Source organism: Homo sapiens, chromosome 13 (assembly GCF_000001405.40).
Source record: "Homo sapiens chromosome 13, GRCh38.p14 Primary Assembly".
Classification (NCBI taxonomy): domain Eukaryota; kingdom Metazoa; phylum Chordata; class Mammalia; order Primates; family Hominidae; genus Homo; species Homo sapiens.
In genome coordinates this window covers 50,115,193-50,140,464 of record NC_000013.11, presented here as the reverse complement: position 1 = coordinate 50,140,464, position 25,272 = coordinate 50,115,193, and the positions used below count along the sequence as shown (strand labels likewise).

Genomic DNA, 25,272 nt, shown 5'->3' with positions numbered 1-25,272 from the left:
CTATTGTGCAAGTTAGATAGGATCTACCACTCTTCTAGATCTTTATTCTAACATGACTCATATCACAAATGTGATCGAGTGACTAGTTTTAGCCTCCACAAAAATGAATTTAACTTCTAGAAAAGGTCCCCAAAGCAAATTGACAGCCAAAGACAGTTTCAATTCAGAAGTGCTGGTAGTCATGGTGGTAGAGGTTCTAGGGTAATGTCTCATTGAGATGCGAGGATGAGGCTCTGAACTCAGGAAGGAAACACTCAAAATGTCCTGCAGGCATTATGAACAGCAGCCACTGAATCCACTAATATCCTTCCTCAGACTTCACTGCTTTTTAAAGACAGCAAAATATTGAGATAGATTTTTAATTGTAAATTCTGAAAAACAGCCACACCCAAGACTTTAATACCTCTCTTTCTTCTCAAAGTTAGGAAAGTGGTATGCTCAGTGTCAAATAACTAATGCTCATTAAAAATGGTCAGAATGCCGTTGCAGATGAAAAGTGAAGCTCTGGTGTGTGAAACAAGAACCCAAATGCATTGTCCACAATGTCTACTTCAGTACAGCCATTCTAGAATTTGCCCATGTGCATCAAAAGCCTTAAAAAGTAGCATGCCGTCCAGGCACAATGGCTCACACCTGTAATCCAGCACTTTGGGAGGCTAAGGCGGGCAGATCACTTGAGCCCAGGAGTTTGAGACCAGCCTGGGCAACATGGTGAGACCCCCATCTCTACAAAAAATGCAAAAATAGCAGTGTGTGGTGGCGCATGCCTGTGGTCTCAGCTACTCTGGAGACTGAGGTGAGAAGATCACCTGAGCCCAGGAGGTTGAGGCTGCAGTGAGCTGTGATCACACTCCACTGCACCCCAGACTGGGCAACAGAGTGAGACCCTGTCTAAAAAAAAAAAAGTAGCATGCCATTGTACCCCATAAATAGATACGCCTACTGTGTATGTACCCACAACAATTAAAAATAAAAATAAAAAAATAAGTAGCATGCCATAAATACTAAACAGACACACACTCAGACTACAGGATACTCAATGTAGCACTATTCATAATAGAAAAAAGAGGGGAAATAAGTCAAACTTTCAACAATAAGAACATGTGCCGTAAAACTTAAAGTGTAATAATAATAAAATAAAATAAAATAAAAAATTTAAAAAATAAATAAATAAATAATAAATAAAAGAAATTTGTTAGACAAAATGTGGTACATTCTTCCATCGGTGATGATACAGAAATTTAAAAATCATGTTCTAGAACAATATTTAACAACATAAAATATTTGCATATATTATGTAGTCATAAAAGCAAGTTAAAACATATTTGGATGTTATATATGTTATCCTGCTTCATAAAGACATGAACGGAGGGATAGACATCAATGACAGCATTATCTCTGGGTGATGGCAGGGAAAGTAAATTTTATTTCCTTCGTTAGGTTTTCCTGTATTTTCCAAACTTTCTACAATGACAATACATTATTTATATAATTAGATGAATAATTTTATTTTTAAAATTAGCCGTGTGTGATCCTTACAAGAAAATTGTTTTCTTTTTCCCTCTTGGTCCTATCCCACCACTCACCCCCTAAAATGCAGCCTGAATTTCACCAAGTTTCCTGAACTCAGGTGGGTACTTTTCCTGATTATGTCAAATGGAAACAGTCCTAGAGGAAATTGGACTGTAAAAACCAAATGCTTCATAAGCTCATGTTCAAAGAAGGCAAGTAAGGACCGTGAGTGGCCAGAAGAATCTGGTGATGAAAATGAGCTATTAAATGGATTCATTACCTTGGTTTTCACTAATGAAAATGTTAGCGGCTTTGTGTTCCTCAATTACATTTAGAGGCAAAATGATGGCATTTCATTCATTTATTCAGTCAGTCATCATATACTTACTGTGCACCTCAGATGTGGCTGCCTATTTCCAGACCTGGAATACACAGAAGGCAAGACTTGATGCCAGGCCCCTCAGTCTACTGAATGCATGGCTGTTCTGGTGGTTGTCAGGGCGTCCCTCCTCCTCATCCATCTTCTTCAGCTACTGCAGTTCTTTATATACTAGATTTTTGTTAAAGTTTCATTTGAATAAAACATTCCTTTGCTTAGAAAAAATATGTTCAGAACTTTTTACTGTACTTTTTGTTTTTTTGAGACAGGGTCTCACTCTGTTGCCCAGGCTGGAGGGCAGTGGTGCTATCTCAGCTCACTGAAGCCTTGACCTCTCAGGCTCAAGTGATCCTCCCATCTCAGCCCCAGAATAGCTGAGACTATAGCCACGTGCTACTGCACCCAGCTAATTGTTGTATTTTTTGTTGTATTTGTTGTATTTTTGTGGTTTTGCCATGTTGTCCAGGCTGGTCTTGAACTCCTGTCTTTGCTGTACTCTTATTGGATCGACTAGATGCCCTAGAAATGAGTGGCATCCACTGACAGTTTTAAATGAACTCAGGGGTAAAACTATTAGCCAAAATGCCCCCCGCCATATAATGTTTTATAATTTATGTTGCCTATATCTACTTTGAAGACTTCCCATCAACCTTTCCCATCCATGGCACACTGAATTATCTAAATCTGTTTGAATCCTTAATCTATGCTAGTAGAATATAACCACATCCTTGTCAACATTGTCAGAGGCTGTAAAGCTGTTTTTCTCTAGGCCACCTCACTTTAATCAAGTGGTCTAGCTCTCTTTCCCCAATGCCTGTGTAAGCAGACTTTACAAGAACTATTGGAAAACTTTAAAATGAAGAGTTGGGGCCAGGCACAGTAGCTCACACCTATAATCCCAGCACTCTGGGAGGCTGCTTGAGCCTAGGAGTTTGAGACTAGCCTGGGCAACACAGGGAGACCCCGTCTCTACAGAAAATCAAAATATTAGCCTGGCATGGTAGCGCATACCTGTGGTCCCAGCTACTTGAGAGGCTGAGATGGGACGATCGATTGAGCCCAGGAGGTTGAGGCTGCAGTGAGCCATGATAGCACCACCGCACTCCAGTCTGTGCAACAGAGACCTTGGGCATCTGTTACAGCACATTTTTATAATTTACCTAAATAGGTATGTCTCTCACCCACTAGACTTGGAGGTCCTTGTTGGATAAGGAATTTGCCCTTATCCTGTATCTCTGTATCTACAGGCTCAGAAATCTCTGTATCTATAGGCTTGGCATAATTCTACTATTTCCAATAAATGTTTGGTGTTAAATTAATAAAAGAAAAGCAACAATAATAATTTGTCAAAATCTAATCCTATCGAACTAGGATTTTTTTTCTACCAATAGATTATTATGACACACCTGTTATTAGGGTTCATATGCTTTTTCTCCTATAAAATTAAATTAAGCTAAACAATTAAAAAGCACTGTAAAAAAACTTTTTTACAGTGCTTTGGGTTTTAAGAGTGTTCTATGAGGTGAATAGTATAAGAATAGTCACCCAGCTGTTTTAATTGAGGAAACAAGCCAAGGAGGGATAAAATGACTAACAAGTACTCACAATTTTTAGTATTTTCATAGTCAAGGATGTAGTGTAGCATAGTGAAAAGAACTTTGTCTTTATTGCTGGGTTTGAATTGGAGCTCTGTCATTTACAAGCTGTATGACCTTGAACAAGCTATTTAATTTTTCTGAGGCTCACTTTTTTTCTGCGCATGTTCTGCATATACAGGGACAGACAGCAGGCTCATCTGAAGGATTAAATGAATCTAGGAGAGTGTTTGGCACACGGCAGAAGCCAAGCAAGTCTTGTTTTCCTTCCTTCCTGATCGGCTGTCTCCAGTAGCAAGGACTCAGTTTGTCTTGATCAACGTTATATCCTCAGCACACAGCACGGTCCTTGGCAGGCAGAAGATGTTCAACAGATATTTGCTGAATTGATTGATTGATGTAATCCTAGGATTTTCGTTTTAAGTAAAAAGCTTTTACTTGTACCTATAAAATTTTATCAACTTATAACATTATAACATGACCATAATCCCTTCTCCAGTCACAAACCTCACATGGCCTACATGATAATGACAGCTGCCTTTAGTCACAACCCAGGGAAAGTGACCTAAGGGAATTTCCACTTAAGTGTAAGGCTAGACACGCATGTGTTTCTCTGTGTAATAAAGCAAAACTAATGGATAAGCATCTCTTTATTCTGAAAATTTTCTAGCAAGCAACGGTAAAGAGACATTAATTGCATTCTGTTAATTTAATTTGTATAAAGCATTCTTGATGTTTATTTTGATCTCCTTAATTTTTTATATTGGCAACCCTAAAATATAATTTATAGAGATATTATAAGTTCATCCAAGCCTATTTTTTTATAGGAATTTAAAATTTGCAAATGTGAATTCTCTTAATATGATTCCTTTTTAGACTCATCACCCTCTGGGTTGGGAAGGCACTCCATGAGAAAAGGGAAGAGAACACAGGCTTGAAGTCAGATGGGTCTGCCACTTACTCCCCAAGTGGCCTTGCATAACCTCACTGAACCTCATTTTTCTAATCTAAAAAATGGAAATAAAAATACCGACTTGATGGAGTTGTCATGAGCATTAAAAGAGACAATATATGTCAAGGGCCTATGGAACAGCAGGCATTCAAGGAATTGCTGTTCCCTCCTGCCCCTACCAATAATGCTACAAAAGGATTCAATTAAAAGCATCATGCCTGAGTATTTTCATAATTAATCACTGTAACATCAAACTAGCACTTTTTTTAGTCTAGTTAGTTGCAAGATCTTTCTTTTGTCTCTCTGGCAGAGTTAGTAGCCTTTGACAATCCTGAGCCCTAGAAATATTGTGAAGGCCTTAACATTTCCAGAGGGGACTTTTTTAAGTCTCATCAGTTGCAAGAACTTTCTTTTGTCTTTCTAGCACAGTTATTAATTCAGGGCAATTCTGAGCCCCAGAAATACTGTGTTTGCAGGAGGATTTTGAATGCCATATAAGAATAAGGGCTCAGTCAATACACAAAAGCCGTTCTTCTATGAATCATCTCCCAGATTTCTTCATGGGACCTCCCCAAGCTACCTTGAACTAAATGCCCCAACCCTATAACCCAACTTCCTGAGAGCATAAAGCCTGCTCTCTATTCTCCAGTGAATTCGAATGTCTCATATATATTTCTCTGTATCTTCCACTGGATGGTAAATTGTGAGGACTGGACAGTGTCTTGTTCACTATGTATGATTTAATCTCCAACACAATTCTCTAACTACAATATTCTTACAAAACGTTCTGCTAGATGAGTTCTCTTGAAAGTACTTTTTAGTTGCATATTGTTATTTTAAAGTCTGCAGTATTAATCATGTGTAATAGCACAGGGATATATGTGGTGCCTGGCAAGGAAACATCAGCTCCCTTGATAAAAGTGAATCCTTCAAATCTTCACACCAGAAGGAAACCTAGGGGGCATCGGATCTAACACAGCCCTCGGCTTCACCTGCTGTGCACCATGAAAGCCCCATGATGAACTATTCACCCCGGGTCCCCCTCTCAGGGCCCAGGCTCCTCTCCTCAAGCTGTCTCTCTGCTCCCCCAGCAGGTCCTCTGCCCTCTAAGTTTCAAGGATACTGAAGTTCTTGTAAGTAGCCCCAAATAGCCATGCTCCCTTCACCTTGGATCTACCCAGGTATCTTTTTCATGGCATCCTTTAATTGCTTTTATTCTCTTAAGATAAAAATTGGATTGTAAGCTGTAAGGACAAGAACTGTCTTCTTCACCGTCCTATTCCTGTGCCTGACATGCAGTGGTCTCTCAATAAATATCTGTTAACTGAATGACTTCCTTTTGGCAAGATTTTCAGAAACACTTGACTAAAGAGTAAACGGAAAGCAAATGAGAAAGAAGCTTAAAATACAAGAAGTTTAGCCAGGAAAATACAGATTTCCGATCCCAGTTTGGTCGCAAGGAACTCTGGCCTTGTCCCACCTTGAGACTGAGCATCCTGTCTTCTTAGAACAGGCAGCAGAACTTCTTGGGCCTCTTTTTCACTGGGAGAGAGTTTTCCCAATGCCTCCAGATCCCCACCCTTCACACATATCGGCCCAGGTCCTGTCTCCTGGTCATTTTCATGCCTTTCTGCAGGCCACGTGGGACCCTCCCTACCAAGTGGGCCAGCTAGGCCTTTCCCTCCACACTCTTCCTACAGGGAAGCCCACCTCCCTAGCAGAGCACAAGACCCCTCCTGACCGGCCCAGGAGTGTGGAGAACACACAACGTCCCAAGAAAGAGGCACATGTGTGAGCAGGGGATGAATCTTTTCCAGGCCTGTAACCCACCTTTTGTCTGTGACCAGCTGTGTGAGGAAGAGAAGAAGAAAGTCCAAATTCACTTTACAGGCAAAAATACTTAGAGGATTCTGAGAAGGTAATCGGCCTTGAGTTAACAGATTGTAGAGTTGGGAAACTTGTGTAATTCTTTTTGTGAACCTGAACCTCAGTTCAGGTTTTCAGAAGAAACCTGAACCTCAGTTAACCCCTGCTCAGAGGCCACTGGGGCCTGGAAACGCCCTTGTGAATGCTCCATCTAGGCCGTAGCCTGAGGCTTCCCTGCCACTGGACCATGGGCGGAGGCTCTCTCTGAGGGGTAGGCCGGCCCCGATTTGAACGACCTTGGGCCAGATTGTGTCCCGCACCCAGAAGGCGAAGGCGGCTGCACCGCAGTGGCTGGGAGCGCCGGGTCAGGCAAGGTTTTACGGCTCCGAGCGGCGTCCCGGACCCACACCCCAAAGGCTTCTGTTAACTGACAGAGACCCGAAAGATCCACAACTAGAATACAGAATTCCCTCCGCCCCTGATCCCTTCCCCGCGAAGCTCTAGAAGCGGTTTCCCCTGCGCGCCCCTTGCTCCGGGCAGAGCGGAGCAAACGCCTCCAGCTTCGCTGCTGCGCCAGAGCCCGCGTGGACTTCCCTCGGCCGCCGTTCCTTCGTGCCCCTGGCGGGGTCGCGAGGCCGTCCCCTCTGCCCCGCTGCCGAGCGCCCCTCGGTGCCGGGACACCAGAGGATCCAGGGAGCCGAGACCGCCCCGACCCTAGACATCCAAAGGGGAGAGCCCTTAGAATTATTCCCTGGCCGCAGGGCTTGGGTGGAGGCTGGGGGTCCACTTCAAGACTCGGTTTCCAATAATAATAGCATGTCCTGGTCACGCTGATGCCAGGACCCCACAGAAGGCAAGCGATTGATTCCGCGGGCCCTTCAGGCGTGGCGTCCAATTTGCGCAAAGCACAGTAATCCAAGACTTTCGCGCACTGAGGACTTTAAGGGGGCGCTGGACCGAGACCCATCTTTTCTGAGCAGCTCCGGGCGGGCTTAGAATTTTTTCTCCCAATTCTAACCAGGATGCACGGCTCTGAACTTACAGTGACCTCCGCTCAGTGTTCTTGGCTCTGCACGGGCGGGAACCCGCTCAGGACTCAGGAATATTCACACTAGCACCAGGGGCTTGCAGACCACTGGAGTGGAGGGCGAGAAAATAGCTGTATATGTTCGCATAAGGTGTATTTTTCTAAACTAGCTAAATAGATCTCAAAAAAAGAAAGTCCTGGTCCGGAAGCCAAGACTGCGCCCCTCGATCTGTCCAGATTCGCTAAGGGCGCCTGAGTGATGAGACGATATTGATGCCCCAAGTTTTCATAAGCAGGGCGCTTTGAACTTGGGTGTCATGTGCAAGATGCACGCACAGTGCCCACGCACTCATCTCCGCCGGAGCCGCGTACTAATTAGGTGCGACTATCCTCCCGCTCTCTCAGCAGGGCAGCTGGGCTCCAAGAGCCTGAACCCTGCGGCACACACCAAGGTCACCCGCTGAGACTTGCCTTGTCATTGGGAGAAGGGGCAAAAAGACTGTGAGGAGCATTTAAAACAATTTGAGGCGGGAAAGCCTATAAGGGGAGGCAAACTGGAGGAATTCTCTTCTATTTAAAGAGTAGTGCAAAGTTGCCAGGAAACTCGCTACTGTCTATTTACTCCCCGAGAATGGGCCTCAAAGAAAATAAGCCAGGACCAGGTGACCCAGTGGGATCCGCGAAGCGGCTCCAGGAGACTCTCCTCTCCAGCGACTCCGCACCGGGACAAAAGGATCAGGCAGATGGGTTTTCTCCACCCGTGAGTGCTACAAACTCTTTCTCCATTTTCTCATTTGATTTTTAAAGGAAAAAAAAGTGCACCCGTCTCTCTTAAAAGTGGAGAACTGAATAGCCTCAATATAAAATTGGCGCTCTGAAAGAGACAAGGTCTAGAAAGATCAGTCTGCCGGCGAAGCCTGCTGTAGCAGAAATGCTAGAAGCAAACGAGTGCTGACAAATTTCGTTTTTACTGTGGAAACTCGTAAACGAAATCAGGTGGTAATAGTTACCTATTGGAACCATCAAAAAATTCGAGTTAATTTAATGTGTTTTGGATTTAGAATACGTAATCACCATTATTTTTATTTTGCCTAGATAGTTCCATTAAGGTTTAATAAGCTATTAAAGTTCCCTGGATAAATTTTGTGTGTGTGTGTGTGTGTGTGTGTGTGTGTGTGTTTTTAAGTAAGTGGAGGTTACCTGAACCACAAGAGAAGTTTCAGCATAATTTTTTAGCCACTGGGAAGTCTGTATTTCCTGCCAAAATTTTCAAGGATGGGAATTAGAAAATGGTGTGAGGGAGACTAAATACTCATCAAGCACCTATATATATAGGTACCCTGATAGGGCTAGCTTTACAAATTTCATTTCATATTAATAATTATCCACCAATAAGAGTTCTTCTTTAAAATACCGAAACCTCCTTCTTCTGCGCCCAGACCTCAGATGGACAATTTCCATAATTTTATTTAATTCAAAAGAATTTCGTTATTGATACTTCCTTCTTTGAAGTGACATAATTGCCAAGGTTAATGGGGAAATCCATGCTTAGTGGTATTAAAGTCTGTTTTAACTCATTACATCGTTAATGTTAATCCTTGTGTGGAAAAAAAAAAAGTGAAGGTGAGCCTTAGCACATGCTGGATTTCTCCTAACTCTTTGGGTCCCTGTAAAAATAGATCCCTATAACTGTTTGAAAGGGGAGGGAACTTGTAACTTGTGAGGAGAGCACCGTCACTAAACTCGATGTGCAAAAAAGAGAATATGCAAAGCAAAACTTTTCCGTCGCTGCAGATCAAAGGAACCGAAAACATGACCCATTTTGTGAGGGCTATGCAAACACTGTGGCTTATATTGACCATTAATAAACGCTGGGCTAGACTAGCGGGATACACACACACACACACACACACACACACACACACACAAACTGGATACGATGGACTCCAGTACCCGGAGCTTTAAAAGGGATGGGGGATGGGGGCGGGGAGGGAAAGGAGTTGACAACCAGATGAAGTGGGGAAAAGGAGGGGAGAAGAATACATTCAGCAACTGCAGCAGGTAGGTAAATCATAAAAAAATCAGTTCCTGCAACTAATGAAAAAAACAATCTCACTATAGTCTGGGGAAAATGGTTCTCTGACGCAAGCCTGATGGTGAGTCTATTTGTCATGTTTCTTTTCCGGACTATCAAAAAAGTTATTTCGAGATTCAGCCAATTGTTTTGACTAGCAGACAGAAAACCGGACCAAGCGTTTCCTGATGTAACGCACCGGCCGCGGCAGGGCCCAGCGCGGAGAGCGCCCGGAGCTGCCCTCCCGGGGCTGCTCAGAAAAGATGCTCCCTACGGCCCTGGGAGAGGCGAGCCCGAGATCGGCCGGAGAGGACTGCCTGTGTTCTGTGTGGCGCCTGACTGCAGCCTTCCTTTGGAGGAATACGCCTTCAGTTTTCTTCTGGAAGGGGAAATGGGCGCAGCTCTCCACGCGGCGACCAAGATTCCCAGTCGCTTGACAAACTTGGAAACTCTGGGACGTTCTAAACTGAGTTTCCCTCGTTCAGCAGAGTTCCTTGTTATCTACTTTACCAGTGTTAAAGGGCTGCAGACCGAGGGGTGCTATTTGAGACGATTTTTTTTTCCACGTCGACTGGAGAAGCGCCGCCGCCAGTTCCGAAGACGACTTGCCGACCTCAGCGCCCCGGGCTCGGCGAGGCGCACCGCCCGCCCCTCCGCACCCGCCCAGCCCCGCTCACGGAGGGAGCCGGCGAGGGAGTATCTTATCCAGCGGCCAGAGCTCGGTGCCAGGGCGCTCTCCTGACATAACCCTGTCCAGGGGGGCCGAGACGTGCAATAGCCACCGCGAGGCTCCCCAGCTGCCAGCCCCATCCTATTCCCGCCAGCGTCTTCCCTGGAAGAGCCCCCAGTAGCAGAAACTCTGGCCTCACACCTCCCGGTGCTCCCGGCTTTTCCGGCCCTTTCCGGGATCCCCACACCCCCACCCCGTTTCTCCCCTGAGTCGGGACCGAACACTGGCAACATTCCCCACGCCCATCCAGCCGCGCCATTTTAACCCCTTAGAGGTTTCCACTGCCGAAGGAGCCGGCCACAAGGAAGGTCCATCTTCCCCACCACTCTCCCTGCTCCGCCACCCCGGGCCCCGCCTGGGTCCTCGCCCGAGGCAGCCTAGAGGGGATTAGGAAATAACCCAGTGGTGGGCGGGGGTGGGAGGCAAGCTACCTCCGGACTCTGGAAACTTTGGCAAAGTCTCGGGAACACTTGTGCTCCCCCAGGATAGTTCTTTTCGCCTCGCGGCGAGCGCGGGATGTTCGAGTTTCTTGGCACCAATTGCAAAGAGCCTCTCCCTCTCCCCAGATCCTTTAAGGACATGTGATCTGCAGCCTCAAACTTTCTCCTTTGGTCAAAAAGCCTCGTCAGCCACTGCCAGAGACCCCAGGCGAGGCCAGGAAGGGAGCGCGCTGGTGTGGGGTCAACCCCAAGCCTGGCGCGCAGAGGTCGACTGAGGCCCTGCGGGTCGAGATCCCGCGCGTTGTTTGCAGGAGAAGCCCCAGGGGACCCGCGCGGGGCGTGTTGCCCCAGCTGAAACAGGCGTTCCCTTTTCCAGATCATATTCCCCATAAAATCTAAAGCCAGATGCATCGTTTAGGCAACTTCCCATTTCACCGAGAAAGGCACGGATCTGTTTCCAAATTGGACTCTAAATCGAGGTTTCTGATGCTGGTTCCAATGGGGTGAGCAAGGCTGGCCTTTCGATAGCTCTTGGGGACTGCCCAGACGCATAACGTTTTAGGTACTGAAGTCTGAACCTAGCCCAGGCAAAGCATCATTTGTGAACGCAGAGAAAAAAAAAAAAAGGTGGCGTGCAGAATAAAGGCAACCACGGGCTTTCACATCCGTGTGCGTCCTTTTTGTTTAAACAAAGGAGAGTAGAAAACATCAACTTCATAATTTTAGACGGACAGTTTAGCAAGATAACCCAATCGAACCTGTTTCACAAAAATATATTACAAAGGAAAAAAAGAACTTGCAAGAAAGTGAGAAAAGTGGCTTCGTATGAAACCAAAGGGCGAGCATGGTGAAAGTAGGCATTTTTATAGTCTGTTAAGTCAAAAACAGCTTTTGCTAAGTATTTTCAAAGAGGAAATAGAAGGCTTTTTCTAAGAGAAGTGCCTAGGAGTCTATTTCACCTGTAGCTCGCCTCTCAGCATCGTATAGAGAAATTTGGGCGGAGTGGGCCGCCCTTTTTACAGTTGGGACTTTCTGGTATTTGCCGTTGTGGTAAAGAGGGGAGGAATAAAAACCAACAAAGCTAGTCTGGGATTGACTACTGCCTGTTACCGGCAAAACATTAGCAGGAAACCAAGACTGCCTTCCCGAGGTTCGCCTAAGCGAACTCCATCGTGCATCTTTGAAAATTACAGCTGTTTTTGAGTCCTGTTAGTAAAATGAATAATCTGCGATGCATAGGCTAAACAATGCAAACAGGTACACAATTACAAGTCTCCCAGGTTTAAAGAGCGAGGGGGCGCAGTGCGAAGATGCGTCCGAGCAGCCAGAGGTGTAATAGTCCTTGGCTGCGCCTTGCGTCAGGTGCCAGTGAGAGGAAGCACAGAACTATTTACTCATAGAGAATACTGCATTTCCACATTGGACTCATTTAGGATCACCAGATTTTAATACCTGCCAAAATCCACAAATATTGCCACAACAAAATGTGTTATTAAATAGAATAAAGTTAAGTGTTTATTGGGCTTAAAGATGGGGCTCTTCGACCGTTTGGCTACATAAATGTGCTAGAGCAACAGAGCGAGCGGCTCGCAGGCCAATCTGCCAGTGTTGGTTCGCTGGGAAAGGGGGCGAAACCGAGGACACTTTTAAGCTGACCAGATTGGGGTTGGCTGCCCTACCTGCGGGGTGGCTGTGGGGAGTTACCCTCAGCTCTGAAGATGCCTCCCCTTAACTGAAAACGTCTTTGGCCGGTAAAGCCGCCCACGCGGGCCGCGCCTCTTCCAAGTCTGCGCAGGCCGCCTTTGTCCCTGCAGTGACTGCCGCGAGGGCAAGGAGCGAGCGCGGAGAATGTCACCAGAGTTTATTGAAGTGTTTATAAGCCGAGAACTCTGGTTTTTGCGGGGAGGCGGAGTGCTTATCCAACTTCACTGGAGCAAAAATTCTGTGGGCCTAGAATCCCAGGAGGCCTCTGCGCACCCTCGCTGGGCGAGCCGGAGTCCCGGCCTCTCCCGAGGATACGAAGCCGGGGGTCAAAGCTTGCCCCCGCGCCATACTCCTTTGCCTCGTCGAACTTTCAGCACGGTCCCATTCAGTCTGGAATTTCAGCTCAAGACCCGGGCCAAAAGTTCCCTGCGGAGTTGGTATATTAACATCCGCGTTCGCTTTTCCAAGGGGGTTGAGGGGCTCCGGACAACTTCTAGCAGCTCCCGGGCGCCCTCCAGGGACCGCCCCCACCCAGTTTCTGCGCAGCTCGGGCCCCCACCGTCGCCTCGCGACCTCAGATCTTGGCCTCCCACGGCCGCGCTCAGGGAAGCTATTGCAACTGATGCGCCCCGGGTGCTTTCGTTTTGCTTTCGCTCCCTCCTCTCCGCAGCTGGGAAGACTGCGCAAGAACAAAGTAGGGGCGAAAAGCGCGTGTCCTGACAGTGTGTCGGGGACACTGCAGCTTGGCGCGAAGCTAGGGCGGGGAAATGAAGGCTGAGGCCCGAGGCCTCTGTATCTCTGCCTCTCGCAGGTGTGGGACGGGCCAGGGGGCCCTGCCTTGTTTTCTTCATGCAAGGAAAAGTGGTTTGTAGATATTCAAAACAAAATTGGCGCAGAAACGAATTCGCCGTCTTAGGAGTGCTGTGGCAGGGCACAGCAGAAGCAGGAAGACGGGCGGCCAGGGCCTTTGCCTAAATTGGAAGGAAACCAGGAGCGAGCGCGCCAGCTCCCGCACCAGGCTCTGAGTACCGTTAGGTGTGAGGGGACCAAAGCGCCGTCCGGTTCGCTGGGGGGTCGACTAAGCTCCGCGTTTTGGAAGCCCAGCAAACACTGCACAGGTTCGCTTTACTTCCTCTCGCCTTCTTTAGAACGAGTGCACACATTGGCAGCTGACGATCCCACCACCTAGTCTCCCTCTTAAAAGAGGGCAGGCAAGCCTGGAAAGGTTTCCCAAATAGAGGCAAACTTATTGCTGTCTTGACTGGCCCAGCGAAAGCGCTCTCAGCACTGGCTGAGCCCAGTGCCCAGCCAGGAAGCTCGGCTCGGGTTGCGCGAGTCCTTGAAGAGTCCCCCACGGCCTGCAGTTGGCCCGAATGAGGGTCTGTGCGCGGGAACGGTTTCCCCAAACCCCTTAAGTAATAACATAACCCTTCCAGACTGTTCATCACACTGTTCAGCTGCCAGGAAAGGTGCGACGCGCTTCTTGCCCTCGTCCCAGCTCAGCTCTAGTTTCTTCCGCCAGTGAGCTGAGAAGCCAAATTATTTTATTCCCACCCTGTAAAGTTAAACTGCAATATACATAAATCACTCAGGGAAGCTGCTAAGATAAATAACACTCAAATGAGCTACTTGCACTTGGTATTGTTGTAAGGCCTTCCTCTGGTGTTTACCGCCCTCCTTGTTTACATGAAGCTCAGGAACAGCGGCTTTAGGCCGGTAGGGAGCTCAGTTTCATTTCAAGGGTATGGCAAGGCCTATCATTTCGTCATAAGGCTTTGAAGGAAAGTTCGTCTGTTTTTGTCTCACATCTAACTTCCAGTAACTTCTCAAAAACTATATTCTTCCAACTGTAGCTCCGGTCTGCAAACTCCCTTCTCCCTAGCTGTCCGGGAAGGGGGACTCGAGCTCGCGCAACGCCCCGCTGCACCTGCGGAGGAGGGAGAGCGTCTGGGTGCGCCATGGAACGCCCGCACCGCGCTTCCCGCGCTCCGCCCGCCTGCCCGCGAACGGCTGCGAGCCACCCCCGCATCCCTCACACCTCTGCCCTCCCCAGTCGTGCGCGGGAGAGGGGGCTAGCACCGCAATGCCTGGAAGAGCGGCCGCGCGAGGGGCCTGGGGACAGGACAGCCTCCCGGCTCCGAGGCGAGGCCCGAATGCGCGCACACTCGGCGAGCGGGGCGGCGACTGGGGAGCCGGAGACGAGAGAGGGCGGAAGTGCGGGACGCCCCGCAGCACTCCCACAGGTCGCGGAGCCCGAGATCCTCGTCGGGTGGCGAGGGCGTGGGTGCCCACGCTATGCGTGACGCCTGAGCCGCGGCCCGAGCCCACGAGCTGGGTGAGGCCGCTGCCGCCGCCGCCGCCACGAAGCCTGGCGGGCGGCGCGGAGCCCCGGGGAGCTGGTTTTCCCGGGCGGGCACGTGACGGGGTTGGCAGCGTTCGGGCCCCGGCTGGGAGGGGGAAGAAGCGGGGAGCAGAAGGCCGCGGGCGGGCGGCTGGCGCGCTGTGTACTTAGGTCGTGTGCTGGGGCTTTTCTCTCCCAGGAGCCGGCGGGGGGAGGGGAGGGGGAGGGGCCACCGCTCCGCCTTCTCCTTTTCGCAATGTTGACGCAATCTATAAATAGTGGAACAAAAGGACCAACTTCCTCGGAGCTTTGCTGAAACTGCACAAAAAATCGAGCCGGGGGGTTCCCTGGTCCCCGGCGATGGGGCGGGGAGCGCTGCGCCGGGGGAGGGGGCGGGCGCGGCGGCGCGGGCCCCGCCGAGGGGGGACACCTGGCTGAGGCACAGCTGCCGCCGTGCCTTTCCGCGCGAGCCCAGAGCTCCGATCCCTGCGCGGGCTCGAGAGCTCGCCCCGAACGGGGGTCTTCCTCCTCCGCCGTTGACAGGTCAGTCCGTACCGCCCCTTTCAACACTGTGGGCTTTCTTTTTCCTCCCCCGAGCCTCCACTTTTAGAAGGGAACTGAGAGGAAAAATAGAACGAGGCGCTGCAGCAACAGCCAGCAAATCTGCAACCCCAGCAGTCCACACGGCAGGGGTGGCCGAGGGGGCTCAAGGAGGCGGTCCCCGCCTGGCCCCTCGTCGTATGGCCGGTGCCTGCGCCGCAGCCAAAGACGGAGGACTGGCGTGCGCCACCCGGGCGGTAGGGAGAGCGGAGGCGCGGGCCGCCTTGCTGGGGTCGAGGAGGGGCTCCCGGCTGCTTCTCTCGCCCGTGGGCCGACCCCCGGAGGCTACGCGTCAGGGCCCGGAGGCCGCTGCATGCGCCTCGCTCCCTCCGAGCTCGGACCCGGCGCCTCAGCTTCGTCCTCTAACTGCTGTGGGAGGATGGAGCAGAGAAGCGCTGTCGCTGCACGCCGCCGTGCCCCCTGGCTCTGGTGCCCACGCAGCCAGCAAGCACTGAGCTGGGGGGCAGGGTGGAACCGGGGCACGCTCGCTTCTCGGAGCCTCGGACCTGAGCGCGAGCGCCCGCCGCGCCGCCGTGGCGGTTCCACAGGGCGCGGGGAGGGGGCGGAGCTGGCGCTGTTGACAGCGGTGCCGGAGCGGGGAGGGCGAAAGTTGGGGAGAGGGGGCGGGGGAGAGGTGGGAGTCGGGGCTGGGGGAGAGAGCGCGCGCGCGGGCTTCGGCGGGGAGAGGGGGGCCGGGTCATGTGATGTACAGACACCCCCGCTACAGGCTGGCTGCAGGGGTGACGTCACCACCCTTGACTGCAGGGGGTGGCACTTCCGCTCCCTCCCCAGCTGCTCCCCAGCCCCTGGCACCGCCGGCTGGAGCCCTTTCGCAGTTTGAGTGGGCAGAGGGAGAGAGGGGTTTTCCTTCTGGCCCCAGCCCGACTGCTTCTCCCGCCGCCCGGAGTCCCCGCCCTGGGACCGGAATGGGAGCCGCGGCCGCCCCCTCCCGACGCGTCCCATTGTGTGAGCGGGCGGCGCAGGGCGGAGGCTGGTGCCGGCCCCCCGCAACTCTGCGCTCCCGAGGGGGCGGGGGCGGACCCCGCGCAGTCAAGGCCAGGTCCAGCCGCCCGCCGGCTCCTCCTTCCCCAGAGCGCCGTCCGCGCGCGGGAAGTCCGACGCTGTCGACTCGGTCCGGACACCGCGGCCTCGCCCGCGTCCCTGGGGCGCCGGGTGGTGAGAGACCCGCTGGGCCGTGTGGGCCCGCAGTCCAGCCCAGCGGGTGTGTGGTTGGAGTCTGTCACAGAGCCCCGAGGGACGCGATCCCAGCAGTCGTTACGCGCTATTTGGGGAAACTCGGGGTTTTGGTGACTCAGCGCGGTGAGCGCTATTTATAGGTAGATGCGTTAGGAGAAGGGAAATAAGCTTCGCTCGAATCCGTCCATTCGTCCGCCCGAGGACTGCAAAGAGCTCCGTTTGGAGGCAACAACTGAAAGACTTCTGAAAAAGATTTGGCAGTTAGAGCCTGTGGTATAAGACATAGCAGGCCTCGCCAGGAGACTAGTTACAACAGTTCGTCTCAAAAAGTTAGAACGTTTTCTGGAGTAGATGGAGGATTTTAGGGACACGTCATGACCCGTAGAGTGTCTTTTTGGGTGTTAGTGTGTGAACCACGAGCAATAATTCAGGTGAAAACCGAGCAGTCCTCCCAGTAGATCGCAGTCTATCAAGAACTGCGTTGTTAGTTGCAGGATTTGTAAAATACATAACATCATATGTGGATAGGTATTAAAAAACTGAATGATGTTGAAAGTTGCTATGCAATATTCTGTAACAGGAAGGTGTGTGTGGCATTTATCTAGAATAAAAAATGTGGAGATTGTAAATTACATGTTTACAATCCAATTTCTCCCTCCCGAAAAGCACTATGAAAAAAAGGCCTTTGATTCTTCAACAGTGTATAAATGCTACACAAACAGTTTTGGCTTCACTTTATGATTTTGATTCTTTTTTCCCACCTCCACCCCAGTTTGTAAATCCAGGAGGTAGATGTTAAGAGAGAGCAATTGCCAGGTTAGCTGCAGGGAGGCAAGAGGCCAGGTCGGGCAGGGCTTTGTATATACCCTGCATGCTGAAGAATTTGGACTTTAGCCTGAGACCTACAAGTTTTGGGGGAAACACATACCTTTTGAGGAAAATAAAAAGCAATGGGCTCTTTCTCTAGGAAAAAAAAATGCGCTTACATACCTATACTAAAATTTTGCATACAATTTTAGGGGGGTTACTTGCTTTATGAGTAAATTCCTATTCTGCCTCAGGACTAAAACATAGGAAAGGGAGAGCCATGAAAGGAGTTTTGGAAATGTCATATTGAGGTGTACACTGGTTGAAGTCCTGGAGACTTGAAGATGGAATGTAAAACAGCCTGTGACCTAAGTAACAATCAATTAGGACCACCGCTGTGTACCTAGGGATAGTGGGGATAGAGAAAAGAGGAATTCAAGGAAGTAATTAAATTGGTGGAATTCTGTTGGTGGAATGGGAAAACTGGTTGGCTGTAAAGGGCAAGAGCAAGAGATACCCAGATTTCTGGTTTAGGGTGTGGACTAAAAGGAGAAGTAGGCCTCAAGTCTAGGGGAAGGAACTCTGTTTTGTCCCTGTAGAATCTGAAGTATCAGAGAACTACTGGGGGAGCAGGGGGTGTTGAAGTAGTTTGGCTCTCTGGAGTCATTAAAATGTAGGTGATAGCTAAAGCAGTGGGAGGGGCTTAGATGGACCACAAAGGGTGCCCTGTAAGAAGTGGTCTGAGGAGGGAACCCTGGGAACACCCATATTCAGGGGAAGAAGGGGAGCAGAAGGAATCTTTGAAGAACCGTGATGAGTGACTAAAGACAGAGCAGTGTCCGTAGCATATAACTGATGAATAAAATCCTGCTTCCTTGATAATAGAAACATGTTGCTGCTTTGTTCCCTTTATATGACTGAAAAAGCTGTGTTCTCTTTCAGTGAAAAAGAAACCATAATTGTCTTTCTGGAGATTTGAATTTAGAAGGACAGTGAAGATAGGAGAGGATGAAATCTTGCTTCTCCCTTTTTTTGAAACTAGAGATACCTAAGGAAGAAGAAAAGGAGAAATGGAAGAAATCAAACTTTGTCTTTCCCCTGCTCAGTCTCTAAGCCCTCAAGGAAAGGTGTTGGGATAGACTGAGTCCCCATGATGGTGTTTTTTGCACTTCAAAAGCACACTTAATCTCCAACAGTTAGTAGCAGAAGGTGCTAAACTCACAGTCTGGCTAAGGAAATAAGGAAGCGTGGAAGGAAAGGGTTTTCCTTTGCCTCTTCCATTTCCTTCCTTCCAACAGGTTAACCCGTTACAGTTAACCTGACTAGGGATTTATTGGAAGCAGTGACTTAAGTACAGAAACCACCCCAAAATTTAGTGGCTTAAAACAACATTACCTTGCCTAGTAGAGAAAACTTGTTTCTAATCCACTGGATGACAGCTGGGGCAGCTCAAAGGCTGGAGCTGGCATCATCTGAAGGCTTGTCCACTTGCTTGTCTAGTGGTTAATACTGACTGATGGCTGGGGCTATCAGCCAGAACACCTACACATGGCCTCTCCATGTGGTCTGGCTGCCTCACAACAGGGTGGCTAGTTCCACAGGTCCTAAGACTGAGAGCCAGATGGAAACTGTATCACAGAGTCTCACTCTGTCACCCAGGCTGGAGTGCAGTGGCGCGATCTCAGTTCACTGCAACCTATGCCTCCTAGGTTCAAGTGATTCTCCTGCCTCAGCATCCTGAGCAGCTGGGACTACAAGCACGTGCCACCACGCCTGGCTGATTTTTGTATTTTTAATAGAGAGGGGGTTTCACCGTGTTAGCCAGGATGGTCTCGATCTCCTGACCTTGTGATCCGCCCGCCTCGGCCTCCCAAAGTGTTTGGATTACAGGCGTGAGCCATCACACCTGGTAAAACTGTATCATTTTTTATAACCTAGTCTTAGAAGCCATGCAGCATCATATCCATCACTTCCGTTTGTTAAAAGCAAATTACTAAGGCCATATGTGTTCTGGGGAGGGGAATTAGACTCCACCTTTTAATGGTAGGAGTGTCAATTTGCAACATGTTTAAAATCACCACATGTAACTTCTGATAAATAGATTTATAAACAGTACATTTGTACATTAGAAAAGTTTAAACATAAGAAACCTAATAAATACCCTCTTTTTTATATTAGAATGAAATATAAAAACCCAAACATTTAAATGTTCCAGCAAAGCTAATCCTGAGCCAACTTGAGTAGGCAGTCTGTCTCATAATCTTCCTGCACCTTTCTTCTCCCTGTGTCCATTCCCTCCAGGTCAGGCCTCCTGTGCACACATACCCTTCTCTCCCAAACTAGGTAGGACATTCACAGTAGCTGTACCTCCACGGTGATGAAAACTTTTTTCTTTGCCCTCCATGAGTTATCCCAACTTTGGACCTCATAGGATCGCTGGCAATCAATGGCATAATGTCCTTCTCAAAATTAAAAAGCAAAATGCTATGGAGAATATTCCAGTAAGTAATTTTATAATAATAATTAAAACAAAATGACATTTCCCAAAAGGGACAATATGCTTTTAGATGTTACGATATTGACTTTATTGGGGCTTGTTTATTCATCAAAATCAGTAATTCTAAAGGAACAGTTGAGGCTTTTAAGTATTTTATAAGAGTATGCATGTTTCCTATGAAGGCGACGTAACACTTGATTATTACAATAAAAAAATGGATACTTCTCCCACCTTTATAATGCAGACTGATTTATTTTTATTTTAAACCAGCATATATAATTATTTGTTTGGTAGAGAGACTCAAGAGTTATCGCTCTAAAAAACTGAAAATACTACTTTTCATTGAATAATCAAGGTTAAATAATCTTTTCTTATAACCTAGTATCTTGTAAAATTCTCCCTAAGCTGATATTAACTTATACATCTTTGGTGTTTTTTGTTTTTTTTAAGAAATATTAAATGTGCTTCCTCTATGACTTAGAAATAGAAATAGTGCTTAGGCCATTTTAATAATTTGTACTTTCCTAAAGGCTAATCCCTCTAATTTTGGTAATTTTGCATATTTATATTTATGTTGAGTCAAAATCACACTGTAAGTTCATACTGTAGAATATGAGTTTTTAAATAAGTACGTCCAGATAAGGAGCAAATATATATTTATGAACCCTTTATTTTTTGGTGTATTACTTAATGATGTTTGAAGTAGCTTTTTTAAAAAATAAAATGAAGAAACTATACCTTTGTTTTTAAAGTTTCTCATACAGTAATGATTTAACAACAACAACAAAAAAAGGATGCAGCATTCAGGATAAACTGATAGACTTTGCTATCAGATCTAAACTGTACTTACTTCTCTGTGAGCTCATAGCTACCACGGAGGCAGCCCAAAGGAGCTTAAGTAAACACTAAAATTACATAATGCGGTTCTGAAGGAGCAACAACCCCAACCAAACTGTGCCATATAGTTTCACAGATGCTGTTTTTCTGTATGCCAGAATGCTCTCCTATCTATAGAATGACTTCACAGTAATGATAACGTGAAAGAAAATTGGAAGTGGGCCAGTCTGTCTCCAGACATTTTGAATGAAGGCAGGGTTGAGGAAATTATTTTAAAGTAATTATGCAGTGAGTTTTTTAAAACCTTATAAACTAAGCATTTAGTAGCACTTTGGAAAGTGTAGTGAAACTGGCACATGGAGAAATAAATTCAATACAGAAAATATGATACCAGGATCACATAGCTTAGGGTCTTAAAAAAAGAAAATATGATCTTGCTAGCTAATAGTAATAATGCGGCCGGGCGCGGTGGCTCACGCCTGTAATCCCAGCACTTTGGGAGGCCGAGGCGGGCGGATCACGAGGTCAGGAGATCGAGACCATCCTGGCTAACACGGTGAAACCCCGTCTCTACTAAAAATACAAAAAATTAGCCGGGCGAGGTGGCGGGCGCCTGTAGTCCCAGCTACTCGGGAGGCTGAGGCAGGAGAATGGCGTGAACCCCAGGGGGCGGAGCCTGCAGTGAGCCGAGATTGCGCCACTGCACTCCAGCCTGGGCGACAGCGAGACTCCGTCTCAAAAAAAAAAAAAAAAAAAAAAAAATAGTAATAATGCTCTGTCTACAAATACATTAAGAACTAAATGCAATCTTCTTAAGTAAAAAAACAAAGAATTACAAGTCCTTAAGGTAGTAAAGTTATTCCTATGAATATGTGAGTAAAAATTCAACTTTGCCTAATTAAATTACAGAAAGAGACCCCTCCCCCGTCAGATTGACAAAGATTGAAAATAAGTGCTGATAACCAGTGCCACTAAGAGTGCAATAAAACTTTCAGTCTTGTCTGGGCGAGGTGGCTCACGCCTGTAATCCCAGCACTTTGAGAGGCCGTGGCGGGCGGATCACGAGGACAGGAGTTTGAGACCAGCCTGGCCAACATGGTGAAACTCCATCTGTACTAAAAAAAATATAAAAATTAGCCGGGCAGGGTGGCCTGTGCCTGTAATCCCAGCTACTCGGGAGGCTGAGGCAGGAGAATCACTTGAACCCGGGAGGTGGAGGTTGCAGTGAGCCAAGATCGTGCCACTGCACTGCAGCCTGGGCAACAGAGCAACACTTGGTCTCAAAAGAAAAAAAAAAGAAAAAAAAAACTTTCAGTCTTATCTATTACCTTTCTGGGGTCTTAAAAATGTCCAATTCTTTGACACAGTAGTTGCACTAACAGGAACCAATTTGAAGGAGATAATCAGATATGAAATCACAGATTTATGCATATTCACTAGAGTATCTATACAGAGGAAACAATCTGAATATTCAGCAGTGGGAGAGTGGTTTAATAAACCATGGTGTATCAATCTAACAAAATATGTATCTATTAAAAATACTTAATGACACAAATATTAATGTTTAATATACACTAAGATTTTTAGTTTATAAAACTTTCTCATTTATTTAAAAATGCATAGGAAATGCATATATAATATATATGTAAAATGCATAGGAAAAGGGTGGAAAAAGTACACCAAAATGTACTCTGTGATTATGGTCATTTTTACCTTTGTATATTTTCTAAAATGAGCACATATTATTTTAACAATCAGGAAAAAAATCATTAAAGCTAAAAGATTTTCTTCTGAATATTTAAATCAAATGACATATTTACAACTTTACAGCACAAGGATAGTTAATAAAGTAACATAACTTATTAGTTACTTTTCATAAGTAACTTTTCATTTGGCATAGTTATAACAGTATCTGCCAGTGAATAATCTCTGCTTACTAAAATAATGTATAGGCAAATATAGAGTATTATGCAAGGGTATAATCTGAGGTTTCACATTTTGGTGGAAAAGTTGTTCGGGCAAATGTTGGTAGAATCTGTAAATTCATCTGTAAAGCTATTGTGCATTAGCTATTTTATAAATTTTACAATAGTATTTTTAAAATTTATTATTTTTAATTGTGGCAAAAGTTATAAATGGTAAATATAAATTTACCATCTTCACCATTTTTAAGGGTACAGTTCAGTAGTGTTAAGTATATTCACATTGTTGTGTATAATGCTATTTTATGGATAATGGCTATTGATTTTATAAAAATACATGCTCATTTATAAATAATTCAAACAATATAGAAAGTTACAGGAAAGTTTTTAAATCTCCTCAGATCCTAGATTTTACCATCAAAATAAATGAATATCAGTTTAGGATATATTTCTATGCATTTATACAGATAAGATCATTTTATTTAAGATGAGAACATCACAGTACTTTTTTTTTTTTTTTTTTTGAGACGAGTCTCGCTCTGTTGCCCAAGCTGGAGTGCAGTGGCGCAGTCTCGGCTCACTGCAAGCTCCCTGCTTCCCGGGTTCACACCATTCTCCTGCCTCAGTCTCCCAAGTAGCTGGGACTACAGGCGCCCGTCACCAAGCCCAGCTAATTTTTTTTTTTTTTGTATTTTTAGTAGAGACGGGGTTTCGCTGTGTTAGCCAGGATGGTCTCAATCTCCTGACCTCGTGATCTGCCCACCTCGGCCTCCCAAAGTGCTGGGATTACAGGCATGACCCACCGCGCCCAGCCGAGAACATCACAGTACTTTTAAATTGGAAAGTATTAAATTTAAAATTATTCTAATTTGGTGGAAGAGAAATGGAAGGAACTGCTGAATTTTTGAAAATGTTTCGTCATCACAAGAGAGCTTAGTTCCTAAAATACCCAAGATTTTAAAAATTAAGGCTTTAGAGACTTTTTAATCCGTATGTTTCAAATTCAGAAATGCCAGCAGACTCTGCTATGAAAAATATATATTTATTGGTTATGTTATTATTTTTACAAAGTCAAGTTTTAAGGTTTATTTGTTTTGTAACTTTCATTTCTTTAGTTATCTCATCTTGATCTGTACTTAAAAATCCAGAGCTTACAACATGCCTTGCTTCTCTATATCTTCCTTATTAATTTTGATTCATCACTTAGTCATCTGCTCTTTACTAAGAAGTTTTTTTTCCCCTACATGGACTCATAGATGCTATATTTGCCTTTTTCGTTAATTCGTGAACGGTACTTATTTAGATATAATAGTTTTGGGTCATGCTGGCTTTGCCTTAAAACTGTGCAGACATTTTTCCTTTGTTTTCTGGCTTCGAATATTGCTTAGAGGAAGTCTAAGGCCAGCTTGATTTCCTCCCTCTTGTAAGTGATTTAGTTTTCTGCCAAGAGATTTGAAAAGTTTTTTCTTCATTCTTTATGAGCATATGCCTCAATGTTGAATATACGTCCATTTTACATTGAACATTTTATTCTGCAGACTTGTTTATTTTGTGGAAATTCTCCTCTATTACATCTTTAAGTGCCTTTTCTGATTCATTTGTTGCATTATATATGCAGGGAGATGGATCAGCTTATATTATGTCAGCTTTGTCTTACTTCCACATTATCTTCTTTGCAATTTCTTTGGTCTACTTTTCTACTACATTCATTACAATTTATTAATTTCTAGAATTTCTTAAATTCATTTATTAACTAGAATTTGAGTACCTACTATATATGCCAGGCACCAGTGATAAATATGATCACATCCCTGCCTTTATGAAGCTTACATTTCAGTTGAGGATGGAAGAGGAAGAAATAAACTTGTAGTGATAAGAAAAAGAAATGGAGGTAAGGAATTGGGGCGGGTTGGGGGTGGGTACAGAGAGGATTGTGCATTTTAGATAGAGTAGTTAGGGCAGGCATCTCTAAGAGGACATTTGAGAATAGGCCTGAGTGAAGTAAGGCAGTGAGCTAGGCAAAGACCTGGGCAGTCCAGGTATGAGAAGAGCACATACAAAGGCCCTGAGGTGGAAAAGCAGTGTGTTCAAGAGAGAGTGATTGGAGCCAAACGAGTAACGGGAAGCAGGTGGGAGATGAGACTAGAGAAATGGGTAGGCCAGATCACCAAAGGAGCTGTACACCCTAGGAAAGAATTTGATGTTTGTTCTAAGTGTGATGAGGAGCAGGCAGATGGTTTATGCCATAGAAGAACCACTCTGGCTGCTGTTAAGTATTTCAAGAGCAATCACTGAGTATAAGAGATTGGTTAAATGGGTGTTGCAGGACTGAAAAAAGCGAAAAGAGAGCACTGAGATAACAGAGTAACTTGGGGAAGCAGCTACTGCCCCTGGTACTGGGTAAACACAGAAAGACCTCAAGTTCTTAGAACCCAGGAGCTAGGAGGAGGGACTTGGCAGAGCTGGAACTCTGACCTCCGACAAGGAAGTGCTGCCCATCTGCTGCTGGTACTCCTGAGAGGGTCTGTTGGGACTGGTCTAGGAGAGCCAAACATAGTTGCAATTTTGAGCTAACTACCATTGTCAGGGTGAAGGCCCACAGCTGGGGCAACACTGACAGGTACAGAAGGCCTATGAGGGAGGGCAAGTTATTTTCCCTTCTTCTTGACTTCTAGTTTTCCTCTACTACTCTATATTGATGAAACATAGCAGGAATTCAGCTGGCAAAGTAAAAATATAGTTTGCAGAGTCCCAGTCCCAGCATCACAAAGCAGTGTTTATGGAAAGGTTTA

General features: G+C 46.5%; 2 long non-coding RNA genes across 2 annotated transcripts in view, besides 8 other annotated features; one reads left to right on the top strand and one right to left on the bottom strand.

Annotated features, from left to right (window-relative positions):
• Nucleotides 1–25,272, bottom strand: part of DLEU1 (deleted in lymphocytic leukemia 1) — a 446,475-nt gene that overhangs the window by 388,179 nt on the left and 33,024 nt on the right. The gene's annotated exons all lie outside the window — the stretch shown is intronic.
• Nucleotides 9,175–9,254: a silencer, noted in NCBI's record as "silent region_5359". NCBI's record gives its function as "represses an Ori minimal core promoter by ATAC-STARR-seq in GM12878 lymphoblastoid cells {active_cell/tissue: GM12878}" and the evidence as "EXISTENCE:reporter gene assay evidence [ECO:0000049][PMID:35858748]".
• Nucleotides 10,031–10,130: a silencer, noted in NCBI's record as "silent region_5358". NCBI's record gives its function as "represses an Ori minimal core promoter by ATAC-STARR-seq in GM12878 lymphoblastoid cells {active_cell/tissue: GM12878}" and the evidence as "EXISTENCE:reporter gene assay evidence [ECO:0000049][PMID:35858748]".
• Nucleotides 14,093–14,803: an enhancer, noted in NCBI's record as "H3K4me1 hESC enhancer chr13:50699798-50700508 (GRCh37/hg19 assembly coordinates)". NCBI's record gives its function as "activates a minimal SCP1, AML or CMV promoter by ChIP-STARR-seq in primed H9 embryonic stem cells {active_cell/tissue: H9 hESC(primed)}" and the evidence as "EXISTENCE:reporter gene assay evidence [ECO:0000049][PMID:30033119]".
• Nucleotides 14,472–14,801: a silencer, noted in NCBI's record as "silent region_5357". NCBI's record gives its function as "represses an Ori minimal core promoter by ATAC-STARR-seq in GM12878 lymphoblastoid cells {active_cell/tissue: GM12878}" and the evidence as "EXISTENCE:reporter gene assay evidence [ECO:0000049][PMID:35858748]".
• Nucleotides 14,832–15,041: a silencer, noted in NCBI's record as "silent region_5356". NCBI's record gives its function as "represses an Ori minimal core promoter by ATAC-STARR-seq in GM12878 lymphoblastoid cells {active_cell/tissue: GM12878}" and the evidence as "EXISTENCE:reporter gene assay evidence [ECO:0000049][PMID:35858748]".
• DLEU2 (deleted in lymphocytic leukemia 2) overlaps nucleotides 14,924–25,272 on the top strand; it is a 142,993-nt gene continuing 132,644 nt past the window's right edge. The window contains exon 1 of the long non-coding RNA NR_152566.1: nucleotides 14,924–15,163. This is a non-coding gene — a long non-coding RNA (deleted in lymphocytic leukemia 2). The remainder of the gene's footprint in view (nucleotides 15,164–25,272) is intronic.
• Nucleotides 15,362–15,871: a silencer, noted in NCBI's record as "silent region_5355". NCBI's record gives its function as "represses an Ori minimal core promoter by ATAC-STARR-seq in GM12878 lymphoblastoid cells {active_cell/tissue: GM12878}" and the evidence as "EXISTENCE:reporter gene assay evidence [ECO:0000049][PMID:35858748]".
• Nucleotides 15,952–16,461: a silencer, noted in NCBI's record as "silent region_5354". NCBI's record gives its function as "represses an Ori minimal core promoter by ATAC-STARR-seq in GM12878 lymphoblastoid cells {active_cell/tissue: GM12878}" and the evidence as "EXISTENCE:reporter gene assay evidence [ECO:0000049][PMID:35858748]".
• Nucleotides 18,120–18,645: an enhancer, noted in NCBI's record as "NANOG hESC enhancer chr13:50695956-50696481 (GRCh37/hg19 assembly coordinates)". NCBI's record gives its function as "activates a minimal SCP1, AML or CMV promoter by ChIP-STARR-seq in naive H9 embryonic stem cells {active_cell/tissue: H9 hESC(naive)}" and the evidence as "EXISTENCE:reporter gene assay evidence [ECO:0000049][PMID:30033119]".